Here is a 21,863-nt window from a genome sequence, read left to right on the forward strand (position 1 = left end):
TACTTACATGCCGCGCGAGGCGCCTCCGCCGCCGGGGCAAACGGCCACGAACTACACTTCCCGACACGCCGCGTGAGGCGCTGCCAGCGGCCGGCCGAGGGCGGGCGGACGCGGGAGCTGCGGACGTGAGGCATGAGCGGCGCCCTCCTCCGGCCCGCGAGCGTCCTGCTGGTTCCCCGAGCGAGGGTCTCGCGGCGCGGGGCCTAGCGGAGGGCATCGAAGGCCTCCGCGTGCGCACGGGTTGCTGCGGCCGCGCCGGGCGCCGGGGAGGGCGGCGGCCGCCATGGAGGTGAGCGGGCCGGAAGACGACCCCTTCCTTTCGCAGCTGCACCAGGTGCAGTGCCCCGTGTGCCAGCAGATGATGCCCGCCGCGCACATCAACTCGCACCTGGACCGCTGTCTGCTGCTCCACCCGGCGGGGCACGCGGAGCCCGCGGCCGGGTCGCACCGCGCCGGGGAGCGGGCCAAGGGGCCCTCGCCGCCCGGCGCCAAGAGGCGGCGGCTGTCGGAGAGCTCGGCGCTGAAGCAGCCAGCCACCCCGACGGCAGCCGAGAGCAGCGAGGGCGAGGGTGAGGAGGGCGACGACGGCGGCGAGACCGAGAGCCGCGAGAGCTACGACGCGCCGCCCACACCCAGCGGCGCCCGCCTTATCCCCGACTTCCCGGTGGCCCGCTCCAGCAGCCCCGGGAGGAAGGGGTCGGGGAAGAGGCCGGCGGCCGCCGCCGCGGCGGGGAGCGCGTCTCCGCGCAGCTGGGACGAGGCGGAGGCGCAGGAGGAGGAGGAGGCCGTGGGCGACGGCGATGGCGACGGGGACGCGGACGCGGACGGCGAGGACGACCCGGGGCACTGGGACGCGGACGCTGCCGAAGCCGCCACCGCCTTCGGGGCCAGTGGCGGGGGCCGCCCGCACCCCCGGGCGCTGGCTGCCGAGGAGATCCGACAGATGCTACAGGGCAAGCCGCTGGCCGACACGATGCGTCCTGACACGCTGCAGGATTACTTCGGGCAGAGCAAGGCCGTGGGCCAGGATACCCTGCTGCGCTCGCTCCTGGAGACCAACGAAATCCCCTCGCTTATCCTGTGGGGGCCGCCGGGCTGCGGCAAGGTGAGTGCGGCCTTGGCCGTTGGGCTTCCGTAGTTATCTCGGCGGTGGATGCAGCTGATGGTCGGAGAGCCGGGTGTGCTGCCCTCGAAAGAAGCCGCCTGCCTCTCCTGGATAAGGGGGTGCAGACTTGGGCTGGGCTGGGGCAGTGCCTGGTCCACAGGTGGAGTCTGTGATGGGTGTGAAAAGGGCACACACCCCCAGATTGGTAAGGCAGGCTTGCCGGGTTTGCAAAAGGACGATGTCTGTGAATCCATAGTTTTACAAGATGTGGACTCTTAGATTTGATCTGCCTTTATCTTCCATCGGTCTCCCCGCCCCCTCCCCAGACTTTGATTTAGTAACCGAATTCGCAAGGAATCAGCATGTTTAAATTGTAAAGAAACATTTGTATATTCCGTTTGTACATAATAACGGATTCAGCTTTGAAAAAAATCAAATTAATTCTGTTGTGCTTCCTTCCTTTTCCACTAGTTGTTGGTTTAACAGACTGGTATTTATTCTTAAGAATAAGTTTATTTAACATTCTTATATTCTTGAGAATATATTGATTTTACTAAATATACTCATGTATTTACAAAACTAACATAAAAACTTTTTCATCTGCAAGTCATTTTCATCCGGTATTTCCGTAACTTTTCTCATAATGCCTTGTACTCTAGAGAAGAAACATCCGTGCATTTTGGTGTCCAGTTCTGTGTCCCTTCGTGAGGCGTTAGCGTTCCAGATGAGGGCAGTTAGGATATTGTGAGTCTAGAAAGCATGTCATTGGAAAAACACTTGAGAAAAAAATGGAGGAGGTGAGCCAGAAAACAGAGAAAGCTAAGAAGTGCTTAAATACAGGATGCTTTTATCCATAATAAGGGAGAAGAACCAGCATCAGGAAGGGAAAGGGAGAATTCAGGGATCAAACTGTAAAGAGTTCTTGTAGCTTTGAGATTCAGACTCGTTTGCACACAAGGCTTTTATGATTTTTCTCCTATTTTTCTTTCTAGCTTTATCTCCCACAACTTAAGCACACCCCCTTTAACTCCAGTTCCTGGAATGAATTGCCCTTTTTGTGCCTTCTTGTTTGCACTCATGCCTTCCCTTTGGCCAGGAATAAACCACATCTATCCCAAATAACATCTTATGATGATGGTGGTCGAGTTGTTGACGTCTGTCCCCATGGATTTAGTTGTTAACCCCATTTAAGGGATTGAGCAGTATCATTCTTAGTAATTGTGAAGTCTTTACATAAGATCATGAGAATGGATAATCAGCTGTTGGTGGCCCCAGACAGCAAGAAGGTCCTTAGGGAGACGAGTGGGTGAGCTCATCCCACCTACCAAATGCCAGGCAAGAGGTTTGGGTGGTCCAGGCTGCTCAGTGAGATGGGCGTTGGTCATTTGCAAGCCTAGGCATCTGTGACTTGCGAGCCTGATTCCAAAAGGCAGGCAGGCGGGGATTTCTGAAAGAAGCAGCCACAGAATGGGTGCTCTACAACTTTTAGAAAAGAAAGTACCACCTTTCCATTTAGGTGCAGATTTGTCACAGTCATTAAACAGTCTTCAGTTTTTCTTCTCATCCTTTAGTACTAATAACAACATTCATATTAATAACAGCATATACATATTTGTTGAGGACCCAAGAAGTGCTTTACCTGGGTCTCCTTGGTTTTCTAGTAATTGCTAATGTGACCACAGTGCTGCCCTTCATCTCCTACCAGAGTGAACATGCAGAAGTGGCCTACAGTCATCTCAAATGCTAGGTGGATGTCATTGGTCTCAAGGCAAATGCTCCCTCACTCTCCTTTTCTCAGCTGTCCTGAGCTTCCAGTTCGGGCTGTGGTTCTGCGATGAGTTCTGCACCTAGATCCTTCCGTGCTGTCTCGGCTAGAGGAGGGAGAATTTTCTCTTTGGTGAGAGGTCACAGCTGTCACTCTGCTAAATCAAGACAGCCGTTCTTTACTGGGATTCCAAAGATCTTAAAGAGTCACCCAAAAAGGAATCAAAGGTGGTTAGGGACAGAGGAGAAAAGGTCAGGATTAGCCTAAGGTTTAGCTACTTTCCTGTTTTATTTATAATATTTTTGTTGTTGTTGTTTTTAAATGTCCTGTGGTATTTTTGATTGTTTCTGTGCTGCTCAGCATTCTTCCGAGGTCAAGTTGCTTTTGGTAAATAGTGATGCTGCGTGTGGTGGTTCCCATGGGTGCTGGTCTCTCTGTGTCTTACCAGCTTTTCAAACTCCATGTATGTCATCTTTTCTAGACCACTCTGGCTCACATCATAGCCAGCAACAGCAAGAAACATAGCATAAGGTTTGTGACATTATCTGCAACAAATGCCAAGACAAATGATGTGCGAGATGTCATAAAACAAGCTCAAAATGAAAAGAGCTTTTTCAAAAGGAAAACCATCCTTTTTATTGATGAGATTCATCGGTTCAATAAATCTCAGCAGGTATATTAACTTCCTTCTACCTTTTGGTCGTTGTGAACATCAAACAATATAAAGTGTGTGAGATCACTATACAAACGCTAGAGACTTACGAGCTTTGTTTACAAAGAAGCGTAGGCTTGTGAACCCATCTCCTTCAAGCCTATTTCTCCATACATTTCTTAGTGTTTTTTGATAACAAGAAAATGCTTTCTCTATCTGATAAATGAAATGGTTGGCATATCCCTGAGCTATACGTATCAGAAAAGCACCTTTGAATCAAATTTCCAGTTTTAGGAATTTTTAATCTAAATACTAGGAGTCATTGTGAACAGTAAAATAATGATTTTAAGGTCATTATTTTAATGGGTTTTTAAAAATTACTTTAACAGTATTTTTATTTTGAAAATTAAACAATCGGTATTTTCTGTAACTCCAGGCTCTGTCTTCAAGGTGAATGTTGGAAGAGCTAATGATTACTGTTTATTTAAATGGGTTTCTGAAATAAAAGGACACAAGCTATTTTTATAAACAAAGCCACTTAGGGATTTAAAAAAAAATAAACATTAAAATTTTATTGGGCTGAGATCTGAGAGCTATACTCTAAATAAAAAAAAATTAAATTTTTAGGCATAACTTTAAAAAATTTTTTTTTGTAACTTTTTAATCATACATAGAATATTTCACAAAACTCTACTGAGCCTTTTTTGAACCTTTTTGAATAAAAAGACCCTTTTAAAGTTCTGACGAGGCGTTAGCATTCTAGGTTTCATATTGGACCACTGACTCATCTTAGTATTTTTTCCCCATAAAACAGCATAATAGGAATAATAATAATATGATTGAGTGCTTGCTGTGGAAGAAGATTCTGGAAGTGTTAATGTTTTTGTGTGTTCTTGTCTATAAATAAATAGCTGTTACATATAAGCTATGTGCCAGTTCAGCCTTTGGTAGAAGATGGTTTTCTGAGTAAAGAAATCATTTATGTTGAAACTAAGCTAGAATTCTACTTAAAGCTATTAGTCTACCAGCAAGAGATCAGGCTTGGACGGGCATTCCAGAAGATGTGTTTCAGACTTAAAAGCAAGAGTTGTACTCCCCCAAATATTGCATCTATATTCAGTGAATATAAGGCTGCTGCTATTCCTGAACTCGAAAGATAAAAATGAGGAAAAGGAAGGAAGGGATAGCCAACTTACATAGGATTCTGCAGGTGGCTGTTGACTGGAATCACTTTTTTCTGTTTTCCTCCCATGATTAGGACACTTTCCTTCCTCACGTGGAATGTGGGACGATCACTCTGATTGGGGCAACCACTGAAAACCCTTCCTTCCAGGTCAACGCTGCTCTTCTGAGCCGCTGTCGAGTGATTGTTCTTGAGAAGCTTCCAGTAGAGGCAATGGTGACTATTTTAATGCGAGCGATCAACTCCCTGGGAATCCACGTCCTAGACTCTAGCCGTCCCACTGACCCTCTGAGCCACAGCAGCAACAGCAGCTCAGAGTAAGTTGACAGTGTGCAGCGTCCTGGGGGCACACACCTCCCAGAGAGTCTCCTGGCAGGGGGCCAGAAAGGGCCGGGCGTCAGTGAGGAGAGGGTGGGGACAGAGAAGAAATGTTGATCCGCCCGTAATGAAAATAAAAGAGGAGGGAAATGTTCGATTATACCTAACAAAGTTATCCCTGCACACTTGAAGATGCATTTTCCAGCCTCTAATATGTGTTTCTATAATTCTTCAAGCTTTAACTTTGCTTTGTTGTTTTGGTTCTTGGGTGTTTGCTTTTGTGCTTAGGCTTCTATGGGAAGCCTTATTGATGATTTGAAAGGCTTTATGTCCCTCATTGAATAGAACAAATAGATAGATAAATACTTTCTAGACTTACCATACAACTCTTTTGAGCATTGTACTCATGTTTCAATTTCTTTTTAACCTGCAGTTTAGCATTTTGTTAAAAAAAAAAAATCAAGTAAAAATTAACTTGTAACCTTAAAATTATGTAATCCTTTTTGTGTAGTTGAAACTCAGTTTCATGAAAGTAAAGGAATGTTAACTGAATATGACATTATAGGCTGTCCCTATCCTTTTAGTGACCTATTTCTGCATCATGAGTACCACATGAGCTCGTTAATGCACCAAGTGTATATCATAGATAATTTGATTTCTTGGGTCAGGGGTTTTCCTTTTTTTTAATATTAGAACATATTCTTCAGATGGTATTTGTTCATACGTTGGCTGAAATACTGCCATGGAACATAATCTGGTGTGATGAGAGGCTATTGCCCACCTCCTCCTGCTGTGGACTCTGCAGCTGCTCGTGCCTGCCCTGAGGCCAAGTTCTGGAGCCACTTTTCTGTGAGGATTAAAGTACAAGGCATAGTTTAGGCTCAGGGTTTAGGTTTCACCAGGCTCTCCCTATGTGTCTGGCCCCATTTGCTCCTGTCTGAGATGGAGGGAGAATTCTGCTGTGTCTAATGAAAGCATTGAAACATTTGGCCCGTGGACCACTGGGTAGGACAGAGTGGCCTTGTTTTGGAATACCGTTGTGATGGGGATAGCCATTACATCTGTGGCCACAAGCAGTGTGTGGAACCTGTGGTATCAGCCACATGGACTCATACTCAGAAGTGCTTTATGTGGTGGGCATTTGTCAGAGCCTAAGGGGGCTGCCAGCTCCTCATATGTAGTACAGGTTGAGTATCCCAAATCTGAAATCCAAAATGCTCCCAAATCTAAAGCTTTTTGAGCACCTTCATGATGCTGTGAAAGGAAATGCTTATTGGAGCACTTCAGATTTCTGGATTTTGGGTGCTCATCTGGTAAGTATATAATGCAAATATTCTAAAATCAAAAAAATAGGAAATTCAGACCACTTCTGGTCCCAGGCACTTCAGATGTGGGATACTCATGTGTAGGTTTCCCGTAACAGAATTCTCATTACAGACGCATAGAACCACATGGTAAAGACAAATTGAAAGAAAAGGGGGGAAATCCTAACATGTTTCATGTTTCTGTGTGTTCTTTGCTCTGTGTACTGGTTATCGTAATGTATCTGCAACTTAATATTCTGCATGTGTACTTGTCTGGGGTGATTTTTATTGATTTCATGTCATCAGTTCATGAAATAGAACATGAAATCAATAATTAATATTGATGACATGAAGTCAATAATAATCAGTTGTTACTCAGATACCCTCAGGTTTTTTCACCTCTCCCCAGTCACTGCCGTGCAGGAATTTAAAGGAAATGAGAAAGGCGGCAGCCAAGGAGCTCATCCTTGTGAGAAGAATTTCTATATTTTATTATTAAAAATCCTCAGGTGATTTGCAGGCACATTAAAGTTTGAGAAGATCAAGTGAAATAATTAAGATTTAGTTATTGAAACTGATATAACAATGAGCTAGAGATTGTTTATCTGCTAAAATTGCTTTTCAGAGAAAACTTCCCATATCCAGTAAATGATTTACTATTTCCACTACCGCTTGCTTAGACTTGATCCCAATTATATTTGCTATCTTGTGTCCCCCGCTTTCCTGGGAAGACTGTGAGGACAGGAGCTTGTCCCTGTTCATATCCCCAGCACAGTGCCTGGCACACATTATGTGCTTTGTGAATGGTTTGGAAATGAATAAATCCTAGCTTTCGATATGAGAAAAGTAGTTTAATATGTTTTGCATTATCCAGCATAAGGGATAATTACCCAGGTATCAAGAGCCTTTTTCTTTAATACTATTGCCCTTTTCATCAGCAGCAAGCAGAGTAAAATGAAAGAATGTTAAGCTTAAAACCATTAATTGGTCAACTTGTTAGCAATTCTAACAAGAAGTTAAGTTAGGAGATATCATAGGCCACAGAAAGAACTCTTACAAGTGATTTCCGAATACAAGTACCTGCCACCCCAACTGTCAGGGATAATTAAGAGTGGATTGGGATGTCTTTTAGTTGTTTTAGGTAAAATTTTGCTTTCCAATCCCTGTTGACAGCTCTATATACATCCTTGTGCATATAAATCAGATTTGGTGACACTAATCTAGTTGAAAGAAAAGACTTCCAACCCCATATACTTACTTTCTCTCTCCAGGAAGCTATTGGTGTGCATTTGTATTCTTGTGTCATGTTTTGGTGCCCTAGATAGCAACTAGAACATTTACAGAGAAGTCCCAGGCTGTTGAACTGCACGTGAGAGGAGGTGAGCAGGGCACTGGATTTGGAAACTAATCAAGCTGCCGCTTAGCCGTTCTTGATTGCACTTGAGGAATTGTGAGTTGTCACACAGTATACTCATGTAAGTGATAAATTCCCATTAAAGTGAAATAAGTGTTCTTTTTTTAAAAAAAAATTCCCTCCTGTAGTTATTATTCAGTCAAAATTGAAGCTCCTGCATATGCTAGGCATTGGCTGAGGGTTGAAAAGCTTGTTCCTGTGCCTTCAGAGGGAGCGCAGTATGATGAAGGCTAGGGGAGCAGGTCCACTTCCAGTGCCACGCTTATACGCCAAGTGCAGTGGGCGTAGAGAAGCAGCATTCAGAATATGTGAAATCCAGTATTTCACCTCCTAGATGAGGGGATGCGGAGTTGAGTTTTGAAGGATAAGCAGAATTTAACTGAGTGAAATAGAAAGCTCATTGTCTACGCCATAGTTGCTTTGGTTTGTATGGCTAAGCAGTAGTGTTCAGGTATTTTGCTCTCCCAAAAATATTTGGATCACATGATACAAACAGTGAAGATTCTGTCTGCTCTGGGTTAATTTTGGAGGCCAGGAAAAAAATGTCCATGATTCATGATACGAAGAATGAGCTTGTGCTGCTGAAAATGAAAAAGTAAGCTAGCATTTCGTCATCCTGCACTACTTGCTGCTTTGAAGGAATATAGATTCCTAGGTCATAGAATATATACATAGTCAAAAACACTCCTAAAGAATCAATTATTTGTGAACCAGATAGAGTATACAAGTCTTTGGAGATCAAGAGAGTGAAATGAGAAGCCATAACTGCCCTCTGCCTAGCTAGGCTGAGTTCCGAGAGGTGGTTGGAAGACAGAAAGTGGCGTCTGTCCCTGGGTAAGGGCTGTGGCGTAACTGGGTGTGGGGCTTTTCTCTAATCATCTGGAGAGGAGAGCCCCTGACAAGCTGGCCCCCAAACAAGGTGGCTATGGATTCTTCTTTTTATAAAAGTTTAAAGTGTCTTAAATAACCTTTTGTGCCATTGAATAGAAAGAAAGGTAGTGGAACTCCAGAATACAAGGGATTGGCCAGAATAAATGGTTGGTATAGAGTAGATGTCAATCTTTTTATTTAAAAATTTTTTAAGTACATTAATACAGTACATTAACATAGCTGTTTTAATACAAGGGTGCATTAAAATAATGCCATAAAAGCACCAGCAGCCAGAACCACAGATCTCATGGTCCTTGGATGCACTTCCTGTGGCTGCTGTAACAATTGCCACAAACTGGGTGGCTCAGAACACAGAGCTTTATCCTCACAGTTCTGAAAGCCAGAAGACCAGAATCAAGGTATCAACAAGGCGATGCTCTCATCCAGCATCTGATGGCCCTTGGCATTCCTTGGCTTATGACTATGTCACTCCAGTCTCTACATCCATCTTCACATGGTGGCCTTCTTCTCTGTGTCCTTACGTCTTCTCTTTTTCTGTGTTTTGTAAGGACATTTGTCATTGGATTTAAGGTACACTCTAAATCCAGGATGATTTCATCTTGAGACCCTTAGTTACATCTACAAAGACCCTATTTCCAAATAAAGTCACAGTCACAGGTTCCAGGGATTAGGACTTACATCTTTTGGGGTCACTATTCAACCCACTACAGACCCCTACCAAGTATAATGTAATTTGGAAAGACATGTGCCTCCATGGGATTAAACAGAAAGACGTCGTCATCTGAAATGTACCTTCTCTCTTTGTGGAGAAAGTCAGTTTTGTTTTGCTTTGCTTTCACTCTGATGTTATGGAAGCGGCAGCATCTGGGGCTCTGCCTTGGATATGTGCAGTTCTGGAGAGTATGCTGTTGCACAGTCTGATGAGGGTGATTCTCCTCGCTGTTGATACCAAAGCAGTATTTGTCGAGTCTCATGACATGGCAGGCACTGCTCTAAGCATTCCACATGTCTTAATCTCATTCAGTCCTCAATACAGCTCTGCAAAGTAGATCTCATTACCTCCTATTTACTAGATGAGGAAACTGAGGCACAAAAAGGTTAAGTAACATGCCCAAGACCAACCAGCTTCAATGTGATGGAGCCAGTGTTTAAGGCATGTCTCTGTCTTCTCAGTGACTTCAAGTGCTACAAGGGGTGGAGGTGCCAAGTTTACAGAGGATGGACCCACTGCTCGGTTTTTCTGTTCTGACTTTTCTCTCTTGGCACTTCTTTGTGTAAGAGCAGCAGGAGAGCCTTTTAACCAGATCTGCACATCACACTTCCCTGGGATACATTTTAGAAACATGCCTTGCCCAGGGTCTGCCCCTGGAGATTTGAGCTCAGTCTATGGTAGGTAAGGTACATGTGGCTGTATTTGTGTCTAACTTGATGCATATCCCTGGTTGAAACTTCTACACAGCAGTTATCACCCTGACCATGAAATGTTCCTTTTCCTTAGTGGAAGAGATTTGTGGGGTTTGGTTTGTAATTTAGAGAGGGAGAGTTTAACCAAGCCATGCATATTCTTTCATTCTGCCTTGAAATAACAGGTACATTTTTACTTACTGCACTCCTTCTCCAACTTACATATCCAGCTGTCTAAGTAGTATCCTCCAAATTCCAGTATTACCCAATGTGTAGAAAGCTTCAGGATTTAGGCACCTGGAAGAGGAAAGAAGAGAGCTTCCTATATTCTTCTGTTAAAATTAAAGCCCTTCTCATCAGTTGGAGAAGCCAAGCTCTCTTAAGTCTGTTTCTATCTCTAGGTTTTGTTAACTAGAAATAGAATCTTTTCCAATGCATTTATTTTAACCAATTTTCCCTTATTATAAATAGTGTTTTATTATAACAACATAATTTACTTCCTATTGTTTATTTCCATGTAGGATGTTATGACATTTTGGGCAGTCTATCCCCAGAATAGATTTTACCTCTTTTTATTGTATTCTACCTTTGGAAGGTTATTTTTAAGTGCAAAACACTTTATAAATATATGCTTAATTTTAATATATGCTTAAATTTAAAAATAATTGTAAATTCTCTAGACTGGGAACACTCTTTCAAAATAGTTTGTGCCGCAGTTTGCTGAGGGATTTTGCCAATATCAATACAACTATCCCTTCATCATTCTTGGCATGAGTTCTCTCATGGGCTTCCCATTCTAAGATCTCAGGGTATTTTAGTATATCTTACTTCGTTCTTCAGAACTTAGTAAATGGGAGTTCAAGATATATTGGGTGTTTAAGTGGAACCTTTCCCTGCTCAGTCGTCTTCACAGTGAATCTCCATTTTGTAATTTTCTTGTGTGATCATTGTGAGTGCTGTCAGCAGGTCCTGTATTACTTGGACAGAGTTGCCGACAGATTGATCTGGGCCTCGAAATACTTTCTTCTTTTGGACGGGGTGAAATTTAAAATGTGGATTATACCCAAGGGGAGGAAGAAGAAGGGAGTGGCGCGAGCTCAGGTAGCTTTCGTTGTGGCAGCACCTCCATTCCCCATGACTCCAAACCAGAAGTGTGGAACCACTTGTACTTTGGTCAGGAGTTTAAAAGCCAAAGGAAGACCTTATTTTCCAACCACATAAAATACATAATCATTGCTAAAGACTTATTCACAGCATACTGTTGATAAATCAATGGAGTAGACGGCTAGCTGGCTTCTGTCCTAATTAATAAGGCCTGCCTCCCTGTCTGTATATGAGGACTAATGGAAATGAGGCAGTTTATACTAGTAAATACCATGGTATATAAGGCTGCCCATCTCGTCACTGTCCAAAGAGCATGCCATGCCCCTAAATACATACAAAAGACAAATTCATGGAGAAGGGATACATACCAAAATACTAACGTCAAGGTAGTCTAGCAGAAGGTGAATTTTCTCCCTTTGTCTATTTTTAAAATTTAATGTAAATTTTTTTAAAGTAAATGTTGACAGGTCTGAGTAGCTTGTTTTTCAAACAATTATTTAATGGTTAAGGATGTAAAACTATGTAAAATATGGTCCCAGTTTTTGTTTTAGGTTAGCTGTAAGGTTGATGGTTGCATGGGTGAGTGGATCGTAAAGTCAGCACTTGGCACAGTAGCTTTCATTCTGCTGGAAATATCAAGTACATTTTTATCTCTCAGTGCTGGAAATATGGATTCTTTTTGTTTTCTCTATACTTTCCATATAATTTATAAGAAGTAAAGGTTTCACTCTGAGATTATGATAAAACTGAAGTTAGTCCATTCATTTTGCAAATATTGGATGCCTATCATCTACCAGGTCTGGGAATACAAAGAATAAAATATTCCTCTCCTTGAGGTGCTCCGCATAGTAGGGATGATGAATGTAATGTAATCAACACACAATCCAACCCATGGTGCAGGATATAGGCTAGTTCAGTCCGTTAGGATCCAATGGGGCTCCTGCTTTGACTCCTTTTTCTTCCCTCAATTGTCCTGAAGGCTTTTTGTTGCTAGGCAGCTTTCCAAGGAGAGAGAATCCATTGTTTTTACTAGTTCTGAGGCAGAAATGAGATGCCCAAGCAGTTTCTGTTCTCCCTACCTGTCTTCCCACACAGGTTGAGTGCAGTAAGGGGCTGAGAGTGCACCCTTCCCTCTCAGGCATGTCACGTACTGCTACACCCCTGTGATGCTGGTCCTTCCCCATACATTTTCTTTAGTATATGTTCTGTCCATCATTATCTTCTAAATCATCTTCCAGAAGACTTGCTAACTAATTTCTGGTTGAGCAGTGATCCCCAGGCTTTATAGAGTGCCAGTGACATGGCCTCGGTGTTTGTTTTTTTGTTGTTCTGGTGAGGTCTGCTGAGAGAATGCTACCATCAGGAGAGAGGAAGATGGGTCTCCAGGCTGCACCACTGGCTCTGGGGCCCAGGCAGTTGGCATGAGTGAGGAGAGAGTCATTTGTTGTAAAGCTGGGGCTGGCCAGTTGTCTTAGGTGTGGTGAGAGACCCACAAGGAATAACTGGAAATCAACTTTGGTAAATATGGGGGTGAGATGAGGCATCTTTAAGGCATTGGGAACAAATCCTTCCGTGAATGAAATGCAGATTGGTGTTATTTGGGTTACTCAGTGAGCAGAGTAGTGTCAGTGAGTGGGTGTATGCTGAGGAGTTCTGCATTGATCCAGCAGGCAAGCTGGGTCCCCTTCGGAAACTGCCACCCCTCCCCGGCCCAGCCCCGTTGGTGCCTGTACATTGTTTTCCAGGTAGCTGATTCGGACAGTCCTAATGGGCTTATTATTTACTGTAGATGTTCTCAGCTGAATGTTGATGACATGGGTGAACTGTAACTGAAAAATTTTATTTTTTTGCTTCACAAATGTGCAGCTAGCAGCTCAGCCAGGAATAAGACCCCACTAAGTTATGAAATGTGTTAGATGTCTTGTTTAACTCAACTAGGGATAGAAAATTTTACTGAGTCAGCCTTCTGATCATAGTTAGATCTTATTTATGAGGGTCCAAATTTAGAAATGTGACTGTAAGTTTTAGTCCTGATGTTCAGAGAGAGGTTAGGTGGCTTACCCAGGGTCTCATGGCTATGTACCAGCAGTCTTCTCGTCGCTTCCCAGGCTAATGACCTCTCTGCTACCCTGTGCGGATTTTGCATGATTAGTGTCCACTATGAGATGACCTACTGCAGCATCCCAAGATTCCCCAGGCCAAGAGAATCCTGAGACCTGCTTCTAGGACCTGCTGTGCTCAGAGTAACTAGGGACCCAATTTGTTGTTTTTAAAATGAAGGAATTGAACTGCATGATCTGGAGCCCTTCAGAGCTAATATTCAGATATAATGCTGACTCTCCCCTGTGTGGAAAGTGGTCTAAGCACATCTGTCTCATCGGATGTAGGCTGCATTTGGAACATGTTTTCCATACACGGTAATGAGGTGCTAGCATTTCTAATAAAGTTTTCACTGTTGTGCAGGGTAGAACCAGAGAGACCACCTGTCAACAGTGACTTTCCAGGCCAGTCAGTGTCTGTTTCACACAGACTTAGATGTATGAACCTATGCAGTGAGATACCCTCGACACTCATAAGATACAGGGCGATAACCTGGTGACTTAGGAGCCCCAGTCAGTTCGTAGTCTTGATGATGCTTAAGCACATTGACAAAGGTGAGAATAAGAGGCAAAGGCCTTGAACTCTTCAGTGTCCTTGCTGAGAAGTATGAGTTTCTAAGACATGTGCAGAACAAGAAGTATGCAGCCTGAGTGTGACCGTAACTAACCCTGCTTGTGTTTCAGGCCCGCCATGTTCATAGAGGATAAAGCAGTAGACACCCTGGCTTACCTCAGTGACGGTGACGCCCGAGCTGGGTTGAACGGACTGCAGCTGGCGGTGCTGGCTAGGTTAAGCTCTAGGAAGATGTTCTGTAAGAAGAGTGGGCAATCCTATTCTCCCAGTAGAGTTCTGATCACAGAGAATGACGTGAAGGAGGGCCTACAGCGATCCCACATTTTATATGACCGGGCAGGTAAGTAATTCACCTGTGGAAAGAGTGAAACCATACGGAAAGAAGTGTGTGCACACATTCTCATTTCCGGAAGCCTGACTGGGTTCCGGAAGCATTCCAGCTGGGTCCAGAGCATTCCAGTGATTCTCAGGTGGATCTGCATGTTGGTATTAAGCCTTCTACACAGGGCTGACCTTTCCGAAGAGAGGCATGAAGCAGAAGCTGCCCTGTTGAGAATCTAGAGGAGTTTTGGGGTTGGAAATGGCAGGCTGCACATTCACCTTAGAAGGTAGTTGGCTATTCCCCACCTTGCAGAATACAATCACCTTTGAAAGCCTGTGCATTCACTTGACAATGAATATGTTTTGTGATCATTTACAACGGCAGTAAATAAAAAGAGGACTTTTGTCATAATGACTTATTAGTTTTAATTGAGAATTAAAATGCTTTATTTCTAGAGTCTATACTAAAAAATAGTCATGGATCTTGAAGTTTTTATTTTATGTAGTAGCTTTTTCAAAAATTTAATTTTGCTGTGTGCACTTATCTGTTTTTGTAGAACTGCATTTACAGATAGCAGATTTGATACCAGCTCTTATTAAATCTGTGACTTAGCAATATTAAATGTCATTAGCACAGCACATTTGCATCTTTTTATAAAAGAAGTGGGAGATGAATATAACATACTGTAGATTAGCAAACTTCTGCTGCTTGAGCATTTGTGGGACTTTGGATGGAATCATGTTGCAGTAACTGTGGAATATAATTTCCACACTTTTCAAAGCTCTGCCAGAAAAGGAGGCTGATAATTGAATGTTCCTGATCTCACGTAGGCTGTGCCACGTGACAATGGAGAGTCCTTACTGGTTAGAGAAGGGGTGGAGGGGCTTAAGAATGACTTTGGTTCCAAGCGCTGCCTCTTCGTGGGTGAGCACACTCGCTGCATGACCTAGGGGGGCTGACCAAAGCTTTTTGGCTTTAGCGTGCCTCAGCTGATGGTAGCTCAGGGGTGTTCATTAGTGCTAAGGACACACTGGCAAGTTGAATAAATAATCCTGTCTACATTGTGACGTGAATGTGCCTCAGCGGGGCCTGCTCAGATGGCTGGCTCTCCCTAGTGCTCTGGAGCATGACGTGAATGCTTGCAAAGTCTGAAAAGCAACACATTCTAGGTGTGTAGAGCCCTGCTTGACTTTTGGTCAAATAGAAAAAATGTAGATATGAACAAGAAAAAAGATTTTAAGACATTAAAAAAATCTCACCATGCCGGGATCGCCATTGTTTCTGAAGTGCAGCAGCAGCGGTCTCTCTCTCTCTTCTTGTAGGTGTCCCAAAGGATTTGCCTTGTTTTGATTGGAACGACTAGGACTGTTCTTTGACATTTTATCAGACTGTCACTTGAGATCCATATAACATGGCATTCACTAACACTCAGCCATTGAGTATTTTATAGGTGTATTCATTTTTTAAATTCTCAAAATTGCTTTATGGAGATAGCTATTAATATTACCCCCATTTTAAGATAACAAAGCAAGTGGTGAAACTGACCCGTAAATCCAGGTCTTACTGGTTCCCAAGACTGTCCTTCCCCCCGTCCGCATTTGCCTCCACACCAGCCTTGCCATGCTGTTACTGATCTCACCCATTACATCATGCTCCTGAGAGGGGTCACCCGTCCATGCACATACAGAGCGGATCTTGGAGGGGTTCAGTCCTAGGAATCCCACTTCCTGAGCTCCACGTTGCAGAGCTCTGCACAGTGGGGATCACCTTGTCTATAGCTTGGAGCTGGGGGGTGGTGGAGGCTGCCTAGTGCCGCTGCCTAGTGCCAGCGCCTTAAGAACCCCACATCCTATACATCTTCCCAGTATGAGTGTGTTTACACACCCCACCCCAGTGCAACATGTCTGCCCCACAGTGGATCCGCAGACACATAAATATCATTCAGATCTTGGAGAAAGCTGCTTTTACAGGCTTTGCTCTATAAATAGGGATAGTGGAAGCATTGCCCTGGAAACCTGTTAGCTTATACTCTTGGGCCTTTTTATAACTCCAGTGAGACAAAGACCCACCCCCAGAGTTGTGATTATTTTTGTATATGCCACCTAGTTCATAGTTACCCACTAGTAGGATCCAGTGATGTTTCTGCATCAGAGTGAAGGAATTTCTAAATGAGAGCAAACTCTCTGCCATGCATTGACATCGGGGTTCTATAGAAGTCGTCAGATTTCAGGTTATAAAGCAGTGTGTAATAAAAGCAAACATGGAAGGTAGCATAGAATAATACTAGTATCTATCACTGATGCAAAAGAATCTTTTTACAGTGCCTGCTCTGTGCCAGGCGTGTGTTATTTAATACAGCCCTGTGAGGTAAGTGGTCTCGTTTTTCCCATTTTACAGATGAGAAACCTGAGGCACAGTGAGGATCAGGAACTTGCCCATGGCCCATGAGCTTGGGGGTCCAGCCCAGGCTGTTTGGTCCCAGAGCCTGTGCTCTTGTCCATTATACTGGTGGTATTGCCCCTGGCATTGACAAAGTGGGAAAAGATGACTAACCTGTGTAGGGGGAGTTTAAATTTGACATAAAGTGGTGTGGGTAGTTTCTTCCAGCCCCCATGCCCGTGAGTTTAGCCAGGCCTGTTACCTGCTACCCTCTTCCCCGCCTTCCTCCACCCTGCAGAGGAGCAGAGCGTAGCCTGAGTGCCTGGGCCAGCAGGGTGAGGGAGTGGGCCAGAACCATGCAGATGTCATCCAGGACACCCTCTCGGCCAGTGTCCATAGCACTCTGACTTCACCAGGGGAGCCCTGCACAGGAGACACTCAGTTTGTTCTCAGAAATCCAGTAGCTGGGCTGACCCATCCATCTGCCCTGGCTCTCAGAAACCAGAATCACTCAGGCTGAGCCGTGGGTCCTGCAGGTCTTTCCCCTGTGGGAGGCCAGCATCTTCGCTTGCTCTCTTCTCCACCTGAAGACCAACTGTCATCTTACCAGCGAGCTCAGCTGCCAGGGTTTGTGGCTGGCGCCAGTCGTATTGTGGACATGGGCTTATGCTGAGCACAGACCAGGTGCTCCTCTGGGAGGAGTGAGACTCACGGGAACACCATCCTCCGCTTTCTCGTGAGGAGGGTGCCCCCTCCTTGAACTTACCTAAGGGACGATGGCCAGAGAATAGTGAAATGTATGCAGGTGCCACTGCTTAGTTCCTGAGAACTGTTTAGCTGTCATTTTTTTGCCCTTAAATATGCCTTTTTTTAAAGCACATTTCACTGATTTCATGTGAATCTAGGGTAAAAATGGAGTAGTAAGACCAGGCGGTGAGAGAGTGGGCTTCCGTCCACTTCAGGGCGGAAGCTGGTTAGTCCACGTGTCGGTCCTTCTGGGACCCTGCCACACAGGTGTCCCCACACCAAGGCTGGCAGAAGGAGGTTTAAATGACCACAGGCTTCGGATATCAGAAAGGCAGCTGGAAATGACACTGAGGAACAGATGGGCTATAACAGCTGCCCTTGCCACTTGGCTCTACATCCTCCTGGCTCCGAGCAGGCCCACCGTTGCTTTTCCTCCAGTAGATGGTGGGCCACGGGATAGAGCCAGAACAGAAGACTCGTCCCCCTCCACTCTTGTCTCTGGCAAATCCACCAGCTGGGAGGACCACCTTTCCTCCCTCCTGCCTCTGTGCGTGTGCGTGCACTCCATGTCGACAGCCACAGGTTTCTGCTGCAGCAGCCTCTTCCCCTGAATAGGACTGGGATTAAGCCCCAGCAGCTGGTGCACCCCACTCAGAGCACGGTTAAGGCAGCTGCCCAAACCTCTCCTCGGCTTTCTCAGGGCCTTTATTCGTTCAGGCTTTCTGGAAGTCAGCTGGCGGAGGTGAAGATGGCTTGGGCGCCCCTCCTGTGAGCTCTGTGTGAGTGGTGCTCTTTGTGATGTCAGGTGAGGAGCATTACAACTGCATCTCCGCCCTGCACAAGTCCATGCGGGGCTCAGACCAGAACGCCTCCCTCTACTGGCTGGCTCGCATGCTCGAGGGAGGAGAGGACCCACTCTACGTGGCACGGAGGCTTGTCAGGTTTGCCAGCGAGGACATAGGTGAGTGTGATGGGAGGGTCCCGGAGTCCTATGTCCATGAGGGTGGGGAAATGGCTAACAGTTACATCGTGGCTTTTTTTTTTTTTTTTTTTGCAGGGCGGGGTGGGCGGGGGTAGCAGGAAGAATGTCTCAGGGCTATGTGAGACTGGCAGGAGAAGATAAGACTTTATGCCTGAGCTCAGTCGTTTATTTCCTGGTGTATGTGCTTTTGAATGTTTATGTTCATAAAGTCACCATTTTCTGTTTCCTCTTCGGGAATGTTTTTACTAACATGAGTGGCTATTCAGAGTATTGCAATAGATGAGCTGCTTTTAAATTTGCTTTAAGTCAGGTGTTCAAGGTTTTCTTTGGACAGCTCCCAAGGTAGAAATGGAAGACTCTAGACACTATATGAAGAAAAAGATCAGGAAAGCTCTCCTCTTCTTTGGTCTTAGGGGATGTTTTGTTTTTAGTGTTTCCATCCTGGTGAATGTCTCCATAGCCTTCACTTCTTATGTTTGTTATACAGAGACTCATGTTTTTCTAGATGCAGAGTTTTTATCCACAAGGAAACAGTTCTTAACACCACACAGTAACCACTCTCAATATTTCTTGCATAAGTTCATGGGATCAGAGACTAGAGCTAAGTCAGGCTGTTTTGCTACATGGGATTGTTTTGGTCACCAAGTGTACAAGCAGTGGTGGTCTGTGGTCGCCTGCACATAGGCCAGGAGGACAGTGTGTGTCATGACTGAAACTCTCCTTTGTCTCTGTGTGTGGCAGGTCTGGCAGACCCGTCTGCGTTAACACAAGCGGTTGCTGCCTACCAAGGCTGTCATTTTATAGGCATGCCTGAATGTGAGGTAAAGTAATCAGCTCATTTCTTGCAAATCACTTCTTTTCTCTCTCGTGCTCTGTCCCTTTGTAGATTTGAATAAATGTCCCTCCTTCACCATTGGTGTATTGGACCCACTGAGTATGCTGCTTGGCTTTGGAATTCCAATTGTAGACTCTTAGACTCCTAGAGAGGGAAACCTTCTGTGTCAACGAGGTCATGTTTCAAACTGTTCTCGGGATTCCGGGGTTCAGAGCACATGCTCCATATGTTCCAGGGAGCAGAAAGGTTAAAGGAGCTGAACAGCAAAGCCTCTGCAAGTTCGCCCCCAGAGCAGCTTCATATTCATCTCTTTTATATATTGGGGGCTTAAGAAAAATTTAATGTAGTAAAAAGTCCTTCAGTTAAAAAAAAAAATGAAAACCACTCACCTGGTTTGCCTCTCGTTTCACCTCATGAGAATTTCTTCTGTCTGTCGTAGGTGGTTATCCAGACTGTAGGCGCAAAAGGGGGATAATAAAAGCATGTGGGGATCTTCTCAGAATTACCTAGAGCTGTGTATCAGAAGGGGCTCTGCAGAACAGAAGCTTGGCATCTTGCTAGTAAAATGTGTCCTCTGTGTCATTGGTAGGTGCTTCTGGCCCAGTGTGTGGTCTACTTTGCCAGAGCCCCAAAGTCCATTGAGGTGTACAGCGCCTACAACAACGTCAAAGCCTGCCTGAGGAACCACCAGGGGCCACTGCCCCCCGTGCCCCTGCACCTGAGGAACGCGCCCACTAGGCTGATGAAGGATTTGGGCTATGGCAAAGGCTACAAGTACAACCCCATGTACAGCGAGCCTGTGGATCAGGAGTACCTGCCTGAAGAGTTGAGGGGGGTAGATTTCTTCAAGCAGAGGAGGTGCTGACTCCTCAGGGCACGACAGCAGAAGGATGTTGCTTTTTTAAGGGAGGGCCAGAAAGAAAGTTAGTGGATTGCAAAGTTGGTTGCCTGGTGGAAGTTAGAACAGACCAACATTTTGTGCCAGAAATTTAAGAGTTCCATAGGTGGAGGCGCAGTTCTTTCGAATAAATGTGTAACTTTGAAATTGTGTTCATTTGCACTCGGTGCAGCGGTTATGCTTATGAAAATACCTGGCAGCTTTGTGCAATGAATTAATGTTATAAGGAATTATCTATTTTGTCATAGTATTTAAGTCATAATGTCATTTCAGAATTCAGTTCTGTAGGATTTTCTTTTCTTTAAAAAATGTATATTCTGGGTAGTTTTAATTGGTAAAAAAATGTAATTGTGATTTAATACTGCATAGTGTTTTGGGTATTTTTTTTATATGCAAAGGTCTTACGAGCCAATAAAACTATTTCAAAGTACTCTTCGATTCTGTCATGGTTTTCCTGCCTGGATGCTAGGTACCAGCGTTGTCACCATTGCATTTGGTGGGTGGATACTGGGAAGGAGAAATCACCCCAGATGGGAAGAGTGGGGAGCTTAAGTTAAGAAGTCAGTGTTATCTTGTTGAAAGTTAACTCTGATCTCTTTAAAGGAATACATAAAGGAATTCTTTAAATGGCTTGTGGAAGACTCCAGTAGTCCCATGCCCATTTTTTCCCACTTGTCCTGGTTTCTTCTTGCAGCTCCATATTTCTAAACAGTCGTTTTTCTTTTACTTTATGTGTGTCCTGAACACAAAATACGCCACTCCTTCTGCTCAGTTAAGAGTTATTTGTCCCTACTGCTACTTCCTCTCCCTCTCCTTAGTTGCATGTCGTGCATATGCCCACAAGGATGGCCCCTTCAGGTAGTCGGTTCTCCTCCTGCTGTTGCGTGATCCCTCCTGGGGTCCTCCTGCCATGTCTGGAAGGCTGCCGGCTGTTGGCCTGGGACGTCCTCTGCCTTTATTCTGAGTGAGATGCCCATTTTCTGGATGCTCCATCCCGCCTTACTGGTTTATTCCGCTATTTCAGTGCAACCCATCCTCTAGTAGTTTTATCAGGCTGGAGGGACTGTATGTTGCAGAGGCTTGGCCCGACTGGCCTCCCTCCTTCTGTCTGGAGTGGTTGCACTGCAGTGTGCAGTTGCCATCCCCAGAATCTCCCTTCATCATCACCCTGGAGCTTTCCTCTGCTTCTCCCTGCACCCCATCTGATGACAGGACTGACTGCTTTCTGGCACAGGTGGCATGTACCCTCTAGTAGCTTTATGGAGCAGGGGTGTGTGGAGGAAAAGTATTTTTAGACCTCAGGAGACTCAAAATGCTTTTATTGTACCTTCAGACGTGTCTGAGGGTTTGGCTAGTAATAAATTGTAGGTAAGAAATTACTTGTGCATTGTTTTACACTTTCCCACATTGTTGTCAAGTTTGAAGGCATCCTGATGTGTGTGGTCTTTTGTTTGTAACCTCTATCAACTTGTAGACTCTTCTGTCTTTGCTCCCCGTGTTTTAAAAGTCTGCACTGGGTACTTGTTGGGCCTTTCAATCTGGAAACTCCTTTCAGTTCTAGGGAAGTTTCTTTTTTTATTCAATAAATTTATTTATTTATGAGACCAACTCTTGCTCTTTTTCCCAGGCTGGAGGGCAATGATGCGATCTCGGCTCACTGCAACCTCCACCTCCCAGGTTCAAGCGATTCTCCTGCCTCAGCCTCCCAAGTAGTTGGGATTACAGGCGCACACCACCACACAAGGCTAATTTTTGTATTTTTAGTAGAGACGGGGGTTTCACCATGTTGGTCAGGCTGGTCTCGAACTCCTGACCTCGGGTGATCCACCCACCTCAGCCTCCCAAAGTGCTGGGATGACAGGCGTGAGCCACCGCGCCCGGCCTCAA

General features: G+C 44.9%; 2 protein-coding genes across 8 annotated transcripts in view, besides 2 other annotated features; one reads left to right on the forward strand and one right to left on the reverse strand.

Annotated features, from left to right (window-relative positions):
* Nucleotides 1-5,037, reverse strand: part of MYLK4 (myosin light chain kinase family member 4) — a 106,740-nt gene extending 101,703 nt beyond the window's left edge. Inside the window, exon 1 of one of the 3 annotated variants that reach the window (XR_926185.4) lies at nt 4-134. Coding sequence is in view for 2 of the 3 variants with exons in the window: in XM_005249078.5 (XP_005249135.2) it covers nt 4-134 (131 nt within the window). In the remaining variant the exon portion in view is untranslated. Of the gene's footprint in view, nt 1-3; nt 560-4,718 lie in introns of those variants that run through there. The other 2 variants (NM_001347872.2, XM_005249078.5) reach the window with 2 other exon arrangements.
* Nucleotides 25-484: a silencer, noted in NCBI's record as "silent region_16830". NCBI's record gives its function as "represses an Ori minimal core promoter by ATAC-STARR-seq in GM12878 lymphoblastoid cells {active_cell/tissue: GM12878}" and the evidence as "EXISTENCE:reporter gene assay evidence [ECO:0000049][PMID:35858748]".
* On the forward strand, nt 54-21,613 carry WRNIP1 (WRN helicase interacting protein 1). Of its 5 annotated transcripts, none has more exons than NM_020135.3 (7): nt 54-1,105; nt 3,352-3,543; nt 4,781-5,022; nt 13,924-14,153; nt 18,067-18,222; nt 18,985-19,064; nt 19,668-21,613. In NM_020135.3, the coding sequence occupies exons 1-7, from the start codon at nt 284-286 to the stop codon at nt 19,941-19,943; spliced, it is 1,998 nt and encodes a 665-aa protein (NP_064520.2). In that variant the 5' UTR covers nt 54-283; the 3' UTR covers nt 19,944-21,613. The 5 variants fall into 5 exon arrangements, with proteins under 5 accessions (NP_064520.2, NP_569079.1, XP_047275034.1 ...); NM_130395.3 differs by having other exon boundaries at nt 4,856-5,022; XM_047419078.1 differs by lacking the exons at nt 3,352-3,543; nt 4,781-5,022.
* Nucleotides 655-974: a silencer, noted in NCBI's record as "silent region_16831". NCBI's record gives its function as "represses an Ori minimal core promoter by ATAC-STARR-seq in GM12878 lymphoblastoid cells {active_cell/tissue: GM12878}" and the evidence as "EXISTENCE:reporter gene assay evidence [ECO:0000049][PMID:35858748]".
* Nucleotides 21,614-21,863: the final 250 nt, after the last annotated feature.

This window comes from Homo sapiens, chromosome 6 (assembly GCF_000001405.40).
Source record: "Homo sapiens chromosome 6, GRCh38.p14 Primary Assembly".
In the NCBI taxonomy this organism is placed as follows: Eukaryota; Metazoa; Chordata; class Mammalia; order Primates; family Hominidae; genus Homo; species Homo sapiens.